This window comes from Homo sapiens, chromosome 5 (genome assembly GCF_000001405.40).
Source record: "Homo sapiens chromosome 5, GRCh38.p14 Primary Assembly".
NCBI lineage: Eukaryota > Metazoa > Chordata > Mammalia > Primates > Hominidae > Homo > Homo sapiens.
In genome coordinates, this window is record NC_000005.10 from 68,645,993 (window position 1) to 68,660,611 (window position 14,619).

General features: G+C 41.4%; 2 long non-coding RNA genes across 3 annotated transcripts in view; one reads left to right on the forward strand and one right to left on the reverse strand.

The window, feature by feature from the left end:
- Window positions 1–14,619, reverse strand: part of LOC105379013 (uncharacterized) — a 406,546-nt gene that overhangs the window by 219,681 nt on the left and 172,246 nt on the right. The gene's annotated exons all lie outside the window — the stretch shown is intronic.
- Window positions 4,911–13,224, forward strand: LOC105379010 (uncharacterized). Its single transcript, XR_007058808.1, has 3 exons — window positions 4,911–4,987; window positions 12,183–12,330; window positions 13,140–13,224. It is a non-coding gene; the product is annotated as an uncharacterized LOC105379010 (long non-coding RNA).

A 14,619-nucleotide genomic window follows, 5' to 3' on the forward strand; every position in this document is an offset into this window, starting at 1 on the left:
ATGAATAGACATGCATCTTTCTTCGAAACTCTCAAAGGTCTTTATAAGAACAATCACACCAGACAGTGGTGCATGGAGGAGGGGAGCAGTGTAGTGGTCGCGTGTGAAAAGGGTCCCTGAATAGCCAATAAACCATCTTACTCCGGTTCACTGTGATCCCCTTAACCCCTCAGTAATAGGCAAGGCCATGTGAAGCCTGGCACAGATAGAGTATCAGAGAAATCCCAAGAGGTGCAGCATCCTTGCCACAAAAGCAGTGTGGCTGTGGCAATCATTGTTCCTGAAGCTTCTCTGAGGATCCAAGATCACTTCAGCCAATCAGCTCCAGGATGGAAAGAACTTCAGGGTTTTACTGGGCTTCCTTGCCAAGCTTTAAATAGCTTAGTTACATCATTGAGAACCAGTGCCAAATGAAAGTCTTTCTGATTGACCTGCTATTAGGAGGCCACTGCATTATAAACCTTCAAAGCTTTAGCCATAAAATAATTTCAAATGCAGTGTCAAGAGAAGTGTTCCAATATGTAATAAGTAAAACTTAGAAGACGTATAAAAATTAAAGAGTGGGTCAACTGGTTCAAATGGCACACAAATTTAATGTGAGTGTCACAGTCTAATGGAAAAAACAGCATCTCAGGATCCAAGGGGGTTCACATCAATTCCAGCTTTGCCCTTCATATAACCTCAGCCATGTTACTTCATCTTACTGTGCCTCAGTCTCCTCAGCTGCATGACGAAGACTGCGAATTCATTGATTCTCAAATTACATGCTAGATATTATCTGAGGTTCACATGATGGCATAAGCTTCCTTTCCCAAACCTCATGTAAATACGTACCATATGTTTCTAAAAAGTTCTCTGTATACACACCTCTATTGCAAAAGTATATCACTCCGCAAGTTCTGTCGAGGTAACAAGCCCCATTTTAAAGAAAAAAGAAAGGGAGGGGAGAATTACATTCAGGGTCAGAGAAAATAAGGCCAGAAACATACAGAAACAGGTTCCAGATATGCAATCTGCTGCTTATCCATGGAGCCATGCTACTTTCCTTTAAGAAGAGAGCGCTTAAAAGAGTAAGGTTCTACCTCTATTCTCATCAAGGGGAGCAACACTTTTGTAATGACTTATAAAGTGACTTGAGAAAAATACTTTCTTATCACAATTTCCATGTAAATTCAAAATTACCATAATTTCCATGCCAATTCAAAATTAGGAAAATACTTAACACATTTTCTTAACTGTACAAATGCCAGGGGAACAGAGTCCAAGACTCACTGTAGAGGGAAAAAACCCAAGGTTCTCACAGAATCTCCATCCCCAGCCCACTTGGCCAGAGTTTTCTTTCTTTTTAAATTCTTGTGTCTCTACCTCTCACAGGTCTCCTCTTCCTCTTTTCCTCTTGTCACACTATCTGCTGTCTCTCCTGGCCACCTCTAGAAGCCAACACCCTCATCCTTTACCCTTTCTTTGCTTGTTGCATCTAACTTTTAAGGGGCTCAGAGGCAAGAGGCCAAAGCCTGTTAAAATCAGAAATAAAGCTACAAAACTGGAGAAGACCTGAGCTGCCTCCCTGAGAAAAGCACACAAGTGTGACATCTGCTAGTTGCTAAGTCCTTGTCTGTCACAGACAGTGGTAGAGGTCTATCTTTCAGAGTAAAGAAGCCTAGCTTGATCTAGAAAGCAGCATCATTTGGGCTCTTGACTTTGGGAGAAGGAGTCCTTCTGATATGACACACTAGTTAATTCCTATTCCACAAAAACCATAACTATGGCACAGTTAAAGCACTATAGCAGGCACAGGTAATGAATAGGGTCACTTTCCTGAGTGACATCTCCACTAAGATCTTTCATCACATCAGACATCTGTGACCCAGCCAAGCAGCAGTTACGAGGTCAGTCCTATAAGAGAAATAATAGGAGGTGGGGATGGGCATTTGAGCTTAGCAAAGTTGTAATCTAATCTTTCGGACTTTGGTCATAAATGGGACAAAGTCCTAAAGAGACCACACTGGGTGTTAGGGAATAAAATGGCACTTTCCTCAAAGAAACAGCTAGAAAGGAAGCATCCCAAGCTATATCCCGAAAGGCTCTAACCTCTGGGACTAAATTACAGTCATCAGAACCTTTATCTTACAAATGAATTGTTAATTGTACTTACCCCACCAGGACCCTCATTTGTATCTGTTTCTCAACTTCACCCATGAGCCTTCCATACACTCCTTCCCACCCTGTGCTAGATGCCTCTCCTCTGATGCACAACACCCTATCACACTCCTCCTGACTAACTCACACACACACACACACACACACACTGTACTATAATTGTATGCTTTTCTTCATCTGTAGGCTCCAGGTCCATTAGGACAAAGCTTGCATCTTTCAGCTCATAACTTTAGCTCTTAGAATTGTGCCTTGTACATAGTACATGTTCACTATATGTTTAAATGAATGAGTACATGAACAAAATGAATGAATCTTTGTATCTTTTATAATATAGTTCTCCTTCCACCAAAGCACTCATCTTGGTACCTTCCCATCATGAGGCCAGGGTAAGGCTTTGTGACATCACTCTAAGATAAGACAAAAGCACAAGAATAGGTTGTACTTAGCAGAGGCAAACAAAGCTGTCCTCGGGCAGGGTGTGACACAGGTTTCTTCTTGTCTTGAGGATGAGTGAAGAAGCCCACAGCCACATGGGTATTTTCGCAGCTTCCCATGGGGGAAAGGCTGACCCTGGATAGGTAGGTGATACATGACCTCGGAAGTACATGGTTTCATTGTGGCTGGGGCCTAAAAGAAACAGGACTGGGCCTTGTGGTAGGTCTGGCCTCCAAAGCCTGGAAGGATGAGGTTGGTGCTCCGTGCTGTGGCCCAAAGAACAGTGTGAGCTGTTTCTTGAACACATAGTAAGATGTCCATGCCTTAGACACCAGCACAGGAATTCAGGCCCTGTACATTGGAGCTCTCTTATACTTTTCCTGGGCAACTAATTCAATTTTCAGGAGAGGGAAAAAAAAAAAGGAACAGCTGACATTTTCCATTGATGGCTCTCAATAAAACCAGAAATACTTTGTGCTTTTGGGATTGAGGCGGGGTAAGGTGAGCTGCCAAGCTGCAACGTGTTCTTAAACAAACAGGCTGTGCAGCCACAGGAAAAGCCATCTAACAAGGTATATTTTTATTAGTCCTTCTTTCAAAGACTTACAAGATTTTAAAAGAACCACATGAATTCTGCTTTTAACTTGCATAAAAGCCTGAAGTTAATTTTTATGAGCAAATTTCAAATCCCTGAAAAACAGGTTTGGTAATATCTCTGACAGGGCTTGAACTGCAAAGTTTAAGCAGGCCTCAGAAAAAAAATAGACATTTTAATGTCCCCTGTACGTTTTCACTGAAAAGCTGTGTCACATTTTGGTAAATAATATTTAAAGGACAACAAATCTTGCTTAACAACACTCCATGGAAAAAGCCAGCAATGAATGACTTTCTACTGACTTTTAATGGTTACCTGCAAATCATCAAAGCCAAGGCTAATGACGTTCAGAAAACTATGAATTTTCTTGGTTTCTGATAAGTGATGTTGAAAGAATAGTCCATAAAACACACCACCAACTCCCACCTCTCTCCCATCCCTAAAATGCCTCATCTAGTCAGAGTTTCTGTTTATAGTTCTCAAGTAAACAGAAGACACGAGAAGGTCACTGCACTCCCTGTGCATCTGCTGAGCCCTGACTTGGTCTATGTCTACACATGTAAGCTAATTAAAGCAAACATATTTAATTTTTTTTCTTTTTTTTTTTTTTTTTGAGATGGCGTTTCACTCTTGCCGCCCAGGCGGGAGTGCAATGGTGTGATCTCAGCTCACTGCAACCTCTGCCTACTGGGTTCAAGCAATTCTCCTGCTTCAGCCTCCCAAGTAGCTGAACTTATAGGCATGTGCCACCATGCCCAGCTAAATTTTATATTTTTAGTAGAGATGGGGTTTTGCCATGTTGATCAGGCTGGTCTCAAACTCCTGACCTCAGGTGATCCACCCTCCTTGGCCTCCCAAAGTGCTGGGATTACAGGCAGGAGCCACTGTGCCTGGCCTTGATTTTTTTTTTTTTTCTAATTCAGCCATATAATTGATTAGTATCCTTAGAGTTAATTAGGTTAACTAATACTAATTTTCCCCAATAATTTACAGTTTATTGAAATTATTGGTAGGACTCAGTAATACTCCTGACAGGTTAATGTCTGTATAAGCACAACATAAAGCTACTAGTCCTAGAAACTGAAGGCAGATGATTTTTTTCTCTCACTTTTTCTTTAGCCTCAACCCAAATAGAACAGAAGGTCAAAATGTGGCAATGTCTTGGTCACTTTTGAAGAGCCAACCCAGCATACATAATATTTCTGCATGTCATACTACCAAGATAAATCGCAAGTCAGGAAGCCAGGACCAGAACACAGCAGAGAGCTGTGTTCAAGAGGTGGAAATGAGAGCCCAGAGTCAGGGCACTGTGTCTATGTCTTGCCACCGGACCCCAGCAGCAGGGGGTCAGGAAATGACCTGGGCTTGGTTCTAGCCAAAAGGAGAGGTTCAGAATCCCTTCTATCCCCTCTAGACCCTTCCATTCACCAGCCACTTCTTCCTCACTTTGCCCACCATCTCCACCCTGGAAGCCAAGCCTCAAAACAGACTATATCTGGAAACTGCTTACCTTGTGGACAGGATGTGAAATATTTTAAACATCCTAACGCTACAACAGTGATCAGTGGTTTTATTTTATGTCAACACTGAAGTGTGAGGACCAAATGTAAATAGATTTTTAATCACAACATTATTTCCAGAATGGCAGGAGAATTTAATTTTAGGATTTGGGAAGAAGGAATTATTGTTAAGTATCTCAGAAGAATCAAGATTTGGGAGCAGGAAGTGAAGACTTATCCAAATTAAAGATTGTGCTAATTTATTACAACCATGTATACTGAAAACAAGCATGTTGGGGTAAGTGGACTGCTTCCTCCATAGCAGAGTTATGATAGCTTGGGAAGAAAGAATTAAGCCATTATAAAAAGTACAGCAACCTTCCTCCTTCCAGCCTGCCTGCACAAAGTGACCATGCAGAACAAGCCATACCTGTACACAATCTCCATTTCAAACACGTATAAAATCCTATTTACACATTTCTAAGCTTGTCTTTCTTGAGAACAACTGATTCCACTACAATCCTGGAGTCCTAAAACGTCTTATGTAATCCACTCCAACTTTTTCAATTGACAGACGAAAAGCCCGAGGTCCAGAGAGATAAAGTGACTTTCCCCAAATTTTAGAGTTTTCTGTTCCTCTAAGGGCGTAAGGGTGTAATAGGACAAAAAGTGATAATCTATGTGACTTGGGATTGGGAGACCAGTGTAATGTAGTGTGTTTGGATCCTGGCCAACTGTGTGATCTTAAGCAATTTTATGTCTCTGAGCCTCAATTTTCTTATTTCTAACAACTGGTATAATAATAGCACCAACTTCAAAGGTTTTTGTGGTGATTAAATGAGAGAACATATCTAAAGCATTCAGCACAGTGTCTGGTACCTAGTAGGTATCAACAAAAGGTATCTATAATAGGTATTGTTGTTATTGGTATTATTACTGTGCTAATAGCATAATGGGTGACAGAATAATGAAGTCAGGAGTCAAAATAAATTATAATAATGATTATTATTATAATAATAATATGATTAACATTTCTTAAGTGTGTGCCTAGGTACTTTAATGATTGCTTCAACTACATTATCTCACTCAGTTCTCCCAATTCTACAGATAAGGAAACTTTCCCTTAGAGGAGCTTAAAATTTTGCTCAACAGCTGATAAGTGATGACCCTAGGATATGAACCTAGGTTTCACAGACTCTAGAATTTCTGCCATTATGCTGAATTAAGGATAACCATTAATAGATTAAGGAAAAATAAAGAAAAGGAAGATGTTTAATTCCATGAGTGAGGTCCTTTACTCTTTTCCCAACTAAAACAGATGAAAGCCTACATTTTAGAGCAAGATGGGCCAATATCAATCACTTCACTTAACCATGTCAGACTTTTATGATAAATGTTACGGCTGAGTGTGAGGTCACTCAATGTCAGCTCAATATCCCTTTAACAGGGAGCTATAAGTCAATCCTGCCATCTTCAGATTTATCTCTGGTGTACAATAAAACTGGTTGATTTTCTATTGATTGAGCATTTGAGATACAAAAGCTTGAGAATTGGCTGCTATTTGTTTGATGTGTTCCTGTGTCTGTCAAACTTGTAGGAGTGTTATCTGCTGTTTGAATGTGGCTTGAAGCTTCCCAAATCTGGCTTCCATAATTGTTTGGGAAATGTCATTTGCTTGAAAAATGGGGGTAAATTGAGGGCCTGTCTTTTCCTATTTGCAGATATTAAGAGATTTTATTTATGCAAGCTGTTAACCAGGTTAACATTGCCCACCCCATCCCTAGGGATGAAGTAGGAGTTCAGTGTGGGTGAGGCATACTTCTTAAGGGTCCTCAAAGCCTCTGAAAAAGTTACATCTTCAGTAGAAAGCCCACATATTGCAAAATGTTGGAAGGACGGTGCCTTAAATTGTGAAATCTTCTGTGAGGGATCTCATTTTTCTGGAACTCCCTGACATCTGAGCCCTCATGTTGCTGGAATGATTCCAAGAGCACCATAAAATTAGGGCTGGTCCTGTCTGAACTGAGTCCAGATCATTTCAAAGTGACTCAAGGCAGGGAAATAAATATTGAACCTAGTTAAATGTTGCTTGAGATTATGCTTGGCACTGGGTGTCCAGTCACTGATTTACTCTTAGGTTACAGGGGTTATTTTGAGCCCAAATGGATGTGCCAGGGCGGATTCATTCAATGGCAGCAATTATTTGCAAGCACAGTTGCATTTCTGACATGTTTAGCGGAATGTAATGTAGAGATTTATGTGATGGTTTCAGGTGGGTGTAACAGACATTAAAGTCCTCAGTTTCATGCTACTTTACTCAACCCTGGATCACATTTGGCTTTTCCCCATTCTTTTTCTCCTTTTCCTTATCTTGCTTGAAAAAAACAAAAAACTGACGTTTTTTCTTTCTTTCTCTTTCTTTGTCTCTTTCTCTCATTCTGCTTCTTTCTTTGTCTTTCCTTTCTCATCCCTTTCCTTTCCTTTTAGACAATAACTTATAAGTTATGAGTGAACAATACGAAATCAGAATCAAAGAGGTTAAAAGAAAGAGTTGTAATGATATTCAGCTCACCCCACTCCCACTCTAAACCACCCAAAAAATATGGGGGTAGCTACTTGGAAAAGAAATGTTTTAAATGGCCAGTTACAACTTTAAAGAAGAGATTTTGAAGCACAGGTACCCATGGTACACATGGACTATGTACAGCCATACAATTTAAGCCCTGTTGAGTTGGCCTGTGACATGTTTCATTTTATGACTGATGTCGGGTCTTGTACCTCAGTGCCACAAGATGGAAGTCACATGCAGTCCCAGTCCTCTGCCTCTCTTCCCTTCAGCAAGAGGAGGATACTCCCTAGTGCCACATTTGGTCTCACTGTTTGATCTGAGGCTCTGGCTGCTGTCAAGTCCCAGCTGGGCAAGACACTGGAGCAGCATTCTGGTATAAGAGCAACCTTTGGGATCACACATACCCACATGGGACTCCTGATCTGCACTCTATTAACTGTCAACCTTCAGCAATTGACCTAAAACTCTCTGAGCTCAGTTTCCTTATCTGTAAGATGGAGATGATAATAACTCCTACCTTGCAGTACTGTTGTGAAGATTTAATGGGGTAATGCACATAAAGTGCTTGGGTCAGCACCTGCCATCAGCAACACTTACTACATGGTAGACAGCAGAACAATTCCTCAAATGTCAAACCACCTCTCTTTCTGATAGGCCTGCAGACTCTGGCCACAGATGTGACCCTAGCCTCAAACCTCTAAAGACCTGGCCACAGAGATCAGGTGGCTCAAAATCTTGGCAGAGGTGGACAACGGGGGGCAGGTCAGAGGTCCAACGTGGCAATCAGGCAGGAACCATCTTCCCAAGACACACCCCCACTTCTTGGGTTACACTGCCTATGCTCGGTCTCCGACCCGTTTCTACATTGGCCTGGCAAGGTGCAGGGCCCTGCCAAACACAATGCCAAGCACAGGCTTTATTAACTTGCCTATATCTTGAGAAAATAGACACAAAACAACAGAGTATACATTAAATCCTGTTAGGAGAAAAATCAATAAGAAATATCTGTTTAACAAAGCCCCATACTTAGACCATTTTCTTTCAAGAACTATTTGATCACACTTAAGATCAGAAGCCATAATTTTCACATATGTAAGACTGTATAGTTCCCAAAGCCGTTCCCCATACCTTATCTTATTTGAGCCTTCCCAATACCTTTCAAGGTAAGTATTATCTCCACTTTACAGATAAGAAGCTGATGTTCAGAAAGTTTTAAGTCAAATCCAAGGTCATTCAGCTAATACCTGTTTGAGTTATTTCTTGATCCGAGATCTTCTGACCCCAGCATTCCCAGCACTACACTGTTCACCTTTTTCTACCCACTGAGTACTGGTCACCAAAACCCCTACTACCCTCACATCCCAACACTCACCTATGCTATCTGGCTTTGATTAGAAACCTGACCAAGGTATAGGCTCTGAAAAGACACACAAGTTAAACGAGGCATGAAAAAATTATCTGGTTTAAAATATGATCATGAATATACACCATATACAAAAGAACTTAATGGAAAGAAACAGAGCCCAAGAATTTCAGGGGGACTCTTCACTCTTCCAGCTTTAAGAAGCAAACTGGACCTGATGGGTGATGTACTTTGTGAGCCAGTTAATATAAATATCATGATAATTTTAATGATAATACAGCCCATAGACCTCAGGGAGAAAGTAGTATTCTCACCAAAGGTACAAATGGATGGGGATTTTATGAACGAAGGAAGATCACTTCCTCTACACAGACTCTATGCTCCCAGCTATAGTGATTTATTTCTGCCCCTTCCAACCCAACATTTCCTGAGAATCCCCATGGCCCCTGTCTTTGCTAGGTGGGGAAGAAAGACCTGATCTTGTCACAGGAGTAGTGCTGGTGAGGAGAGGACAACAGACCTAGTGATGTTTCTTTCACCCTCCCCAATTCCCACCACCTAGAAAATGAAGACTGACAACTATTAATGACTCCTGGTAACCACGTATGGATTATTCATGAGATAAAGCATGATTTAAACCATAGCTATGAGATGATCGTTTCATGTCCCACATAGCCCTTCCCCAGCCAGGCCTGAAGCTATAGGGATGGAGGTGGGTGTTTGGGATGAACCAGGGCTGCCACACAAAACATCCAAAGAAACCAACTTCTTGACTGCGGGGAGCACAGGCAGAGCTGATTGGACATCAGCTACTCTGAGGAACACAGGAGATTGCCTATTTTTTAGGAAATGTTCCAAAAAATTGTTTCCCCTCCTCTTTAGCCCAGAGTGAAGGAGGGTGTTTCCCATGCAGACAGTGCAACCTGCCCCGGCCCCTCACCACAGTGAGAGAAGACTCAGCAGCACATGCTCACCGAGCTAACTGAACCGATGGTGCTCTCCGTAGTGGCCACAGACTACAGCTGAGGTCAACTGATGCATGCCCAACGACGTCTGCAGATCCCAAGATATGATTTCATTAATTGCCATGGATAAATCAGTTGGGCATTTGCTGGCAGTGTTTAAAATGCCACGATGGGTCAGATTAGAAAGCTGCTAGTACTGTAAGTCCAAAAGTGACCCAAGGAGGGTTCTTGGCTTCTGCCAAGGGTAAGATCCCACAGCTGCTTGAGTTGACTCCACCTGAACAAAGTGAGGCCTCTGCCATCAGGCCCATCATTCCATCTAGATAGGTATGGCCTCCTGCCACCACCGGGACACACATCTGTGATACAACCAGAGACAACAAAGGTACCCTGGGCTGGAGGCAGGGCAGGGGTAATTGCAGTATCAGAACCTACTTCCCAGGATTCTTGACAAAGTTCTCCCCAACAGGTGCTTCTCCTCTCTGGAGTAGTGTAATGATGAAAGACACGTATTAGAAGTTGAACTACCAAGGTTTGAATCCCAGCTCTGCCCACCAACTATGTAATCATGAGAAAGTCACTTAACCTCTCTGAATCTCAGCTTCCTCCTCTGCAAAAGGGAAGAATAAAGCTCCTATATAGTCCCATAAAATTGGTGTAAGGATTAAAAGACATGATTGGTGTGAAGAGTTAGAACAGTGAGTCAACATGAAGTCATGTTCCATATTATTTTTCCTTTAGGGTCCTCCGTCTTCCCCTTTCCCTGGAGACCCATCCTATCTGCCCTAGTGGGGCAGTGCCTTGTTCTCTGGGATGCTCCTCTCTTTACTCTGAAAGAGATCAAATAACCAGTCCACACAAAGCTTAATATGTTGTTCAATAGGAGGGTGGAACTTTAGATGCAAGGAGCAAACTCCTAGAGGGAAATTTCCAGTTTTATTGGTCTGCAGATAGAAAAGGGTTATTTGCATCATGTAGGAGAGTATTGAATAGGAGGTGAGGAAGTAGGCCAAGGCCTCATAATCTGGACATCGATTTCAGGATAAGAAGTGCATATATAAGAGGTTTCATAGGTAGAGTCGAGAGCAAGCATAGTAGAAATGACACTACAAAGATTTTAAGAAAAAATAGGATTGAAGGGGAGCCAGTGTTGCCAGATGGAGGCCATCATGTGGAGATCCTGCTTGGAGCACTCACTAGCCCAGAGCCACCATGCCATGGGATGGACCTGCAGCCTCTGGAGGCCTTGATAAGGGATGGCTGAGCTGAGCTGAGTGTTCACTTCCCTGTGCTTTTTACATTTCCTAAGGTATAGGCAACCAGGAGATGCCTTATTCTCTACAATTTTCTGGGACCAACATAGCCACATCTGTTATCCCTTTGTCCTTCCTCACCTTCCTTGCAACTCTTCATACACATTCACACACACACACACCTTTCCAGGTCTGAGAAAAAGGTAATAGACAAAACACAAACTCTAAGAATCAAATGCAGACATGTGAAGCTGGCCAGGTGCAATCATACATGCCCTCGGGTAAGGCATGATTCATCACCAAAGTCCCCAACTCCTCTGCTCTCTGAAAACACTCTGCCTTCTTGCAGATGGATGGTGACAGTCCCACTCCTTTCTACCTCATACTGAGACCAGCTTGAGCATGTGGCTGGCCATGCAGCCTTGAAAAGGACAAATGACCCGAAGGGACTAAAGTAGAATGGGGAAAGCCAGGCACTCCAAAGCTGCAACATCACCCTCTGGCAGTTATAATTGCTCCCCTGCAGTGAGGGAATGTCCCTGCCCACTACTCATCGACCAGGTAGCTCCTGGAGGGCTCAAGTTCCTGGTGGAAGGGGCTTGGCCTGTTTCAACTAACTTCAAGCAGCACAAAGCCCAGCCCATCTCTCTGTAGCTCTGGGCATTTAACAAATGCTTTTAATGATGATGATGCAATCCTTTCAGCTTAGGTCTATCAGGGTCCCCTGAGAAACATATATTATCTGAAGCTTTCCCTTTTGCTTAATTACATTGTGCTAATGTTCTTTTTCCACTAGATTTCTCCTCCCCCAACTCTCCCATCCAAATCCTGCTTCACTGTGGGTTGGATTTACATAAAAGGCCAGCACGTTATAATTGTGATGATTGATCACCAAAGTTTCCTTGGGTTCAGATTGTTTCCTAATGTGGGTCATTTTTCATCATGAAGAGTTGGCTGATAATGATGTCATTTCCATTGCTTGAATTTTGAGGCAGTGGCCACATATCACAGAGTTTAAATGACTGTCTATAGGGCAGCAAAATCATGTCGTTATCAGTTTAAAGCAGTTGCTGCTTTACTCCTGGGGACAAAACAAGAATTGGAGCCTCCTAAAACTCATCAAACAAGAGCAGGATGCCAAGAATACAAATCTGTATCTGGGCCTGGGAAAGGGGGAGCAGGAAGGAGGGGTGGTGGTGAAGCAAACCTGTTTTTGCATGAGGCTGTGTGGTAAGTATCAGATAAAAATGACAAAGTCATACTTGACAGAAAATAAGCTGTACTGCTGATCACTGGATACCTTAGATGTGTTCACCCACAATCCTTTAACTGTGATTTCACAGGAAGATTAACGAGCAAGAATTGAAATCATTCACGAAGAGAAGCTTTGGACTAAAACCCATCTGCCAGATAAGCCAATAAATGTCCCTCTCATCAAGTGATTGGGACTGGGATGGAGCTGGAATTTGGCCCTAATGTTGCATGTGTAAAGTATGCATATAAAATGAAATGATGTTACATGTGTGTTTAAAACAAATAGTTGCATTGTTAAAATCCCAAGGCTTGCAGACCCTAAATCACTGTGAGTGAGCTGCTGCCCCAGATGCTCTGTTTTCTGCTATTTGCCCCCAGCCAACTTCCCATGTGGCATGTCCTTCTGAACCCTCTAGGATGCCCTGCAGATGTTAAAAGTGTATAGTGCAGCCCCAGCCCTGTCTTCCACAGTCTTTCTCATGCAACCCAGCATCCCTCCTCCAACTTCTTTTCAAAATACTCTAACTTGGAGAAAATTGCAAGAACAGTAAAATGAACACCCATATATTGCTCACCTACATTCACTAATTATTTTTATTGTCCCAAATATGCTTTATCTCTCTGTATACATATACACACTTTTTTTTGTTTAATCATTTGAGAATTCATTGTTTTAGCTTCCCATGCTTCAGGATACTTCCCTCCTACATACTTAGGTGAGTATCTCAACAAAAGGTTTTCCTCCTTTCATATCATACTTCAGAAATTTCACATTGATATAATACTATTCTCTAATATGGTCTTTTTTAAGTTCAATTGTCCCTATAGTTTTATGCAGCTGATCTAAGTACATACATACACACATACACACACCCACACACACCCGCACACCCACACACACACGCCTCCAGGGTTTAATCAAAGATCTCACATTGCGTTTAGCTGACATGTTTGCTTTTTCATTTGTTTGTTTTGTGTTGTGGTGTTGAATTGGTCCTAGCGGTATCAATATAAACCTATTTTTATTTCAAAAATTTATTTCTTAGGAAGATGGAGATATGTCAAGAAGACACAGGATTCTTCTTGAAAGGATTCCCACTGGGAAAACTGGGATAATTTAAACATCAAAATGACAAATGACAGAAGTGGTTATAACATATTAGAGGGAACAAATATATTTTCTGATATTTTGAAAAATCAAGGTGGGAAGAAGAATGGAACACTCCTCTTTAGAGAAGAATACCAACTAATAAATGAGTAGGAAATTTAGAAATAGAAAATTGTCATTTTGTAACCATCATAATGATAATTAATTCAGGCAGGGGCCATGATATCCCAGTCCACATTTGTACCTTTCTTTTTCCACAGTGAGAATCCAGGTTCCCAACAACCTTGTTATGTTTACCCATTTGCCTGGTCCTGCAGTACACACTATCAACAATTTATTAAGTGGAGTTCAAGATTTCCATACCGTTTCATTTTTATTCTTAGAAAATGTTATGTTGGGTTGTACAATCAGCATACTTTGTTCGAAAGTGACTTGAGTACTTTTTCTAATCTGTGATTTTTATCTATTTCATGTAATTTTGGGTTTTTTCTGCTTGAATTCAATTTTCATCTTTTTTCCATTTCTTAATTCTATTTTTTGGAAATGTAAACCTTTAACACACTTTGAAACACAAAACCAAATCAAAAGGGATCCCCAGAGAAATTCCATCTTCTTCCCTATGACTTGCATTTGGTTCTCACTGATCCCTATAAATAACCAATTTCATTCATTTCTAGTTTAATTTCCTTGTTTTGTTTTTGTTGTTGTTTTTTTTTTTTTTTTTTTCAGAAAAATAAGCAAATTTACAGACAAATTTTTAAGCCATTAATATTTGTGTCCTTTTTGTAACAATTGCTTTGGAATTTTGGAAAAATATATGAGAAAATTCCAAAAGATGAAGTCACCCCAAGAACATACGTTTTCATTTCCTGCTTAGAGTTAAGTGAAGAATTTTTGTTTAAGGGAGGATGACAGACGCCAACCTAGTCATTGGACTTAGGGGACTAGCCACTATCACATTCCTCAAAATCTGTATTTTTTTGTCTCAGTAACAAATAGGAATGCAACCAATTTGACCCCGTACTGATTCTCTTGTTGATATGATCAAATTAACCAGCCAAGCAACAGCACTTCCTAGACTCAGCATAATTCTGATCACTTTGTTCTGTAGCTTAATACCCTTCCATGGCTTCCTATTGTCCTCAGGATAAATTCCAAACTTGCAAAGCCCACTGTAGGCTGCCCTCTCCACTTGGCGTGCACACAGACACACACACACACACGGGTTCCTGAGTCCCAACAGTTCACTTCTTTTCTCAACCTGTGCTGTTTGCTTTGCTCACACTGAGCCCAACATTTGAACTGCTCTTCCCACGAAGGGCAAGGAAGTCGGGTGGATGGGTGTCACCTTCACCAGCCCCTCAAGGCAAGTCCATTTGTTGAGCTCTAAAGACGCATCTTACATTGCAGTTTCCCAT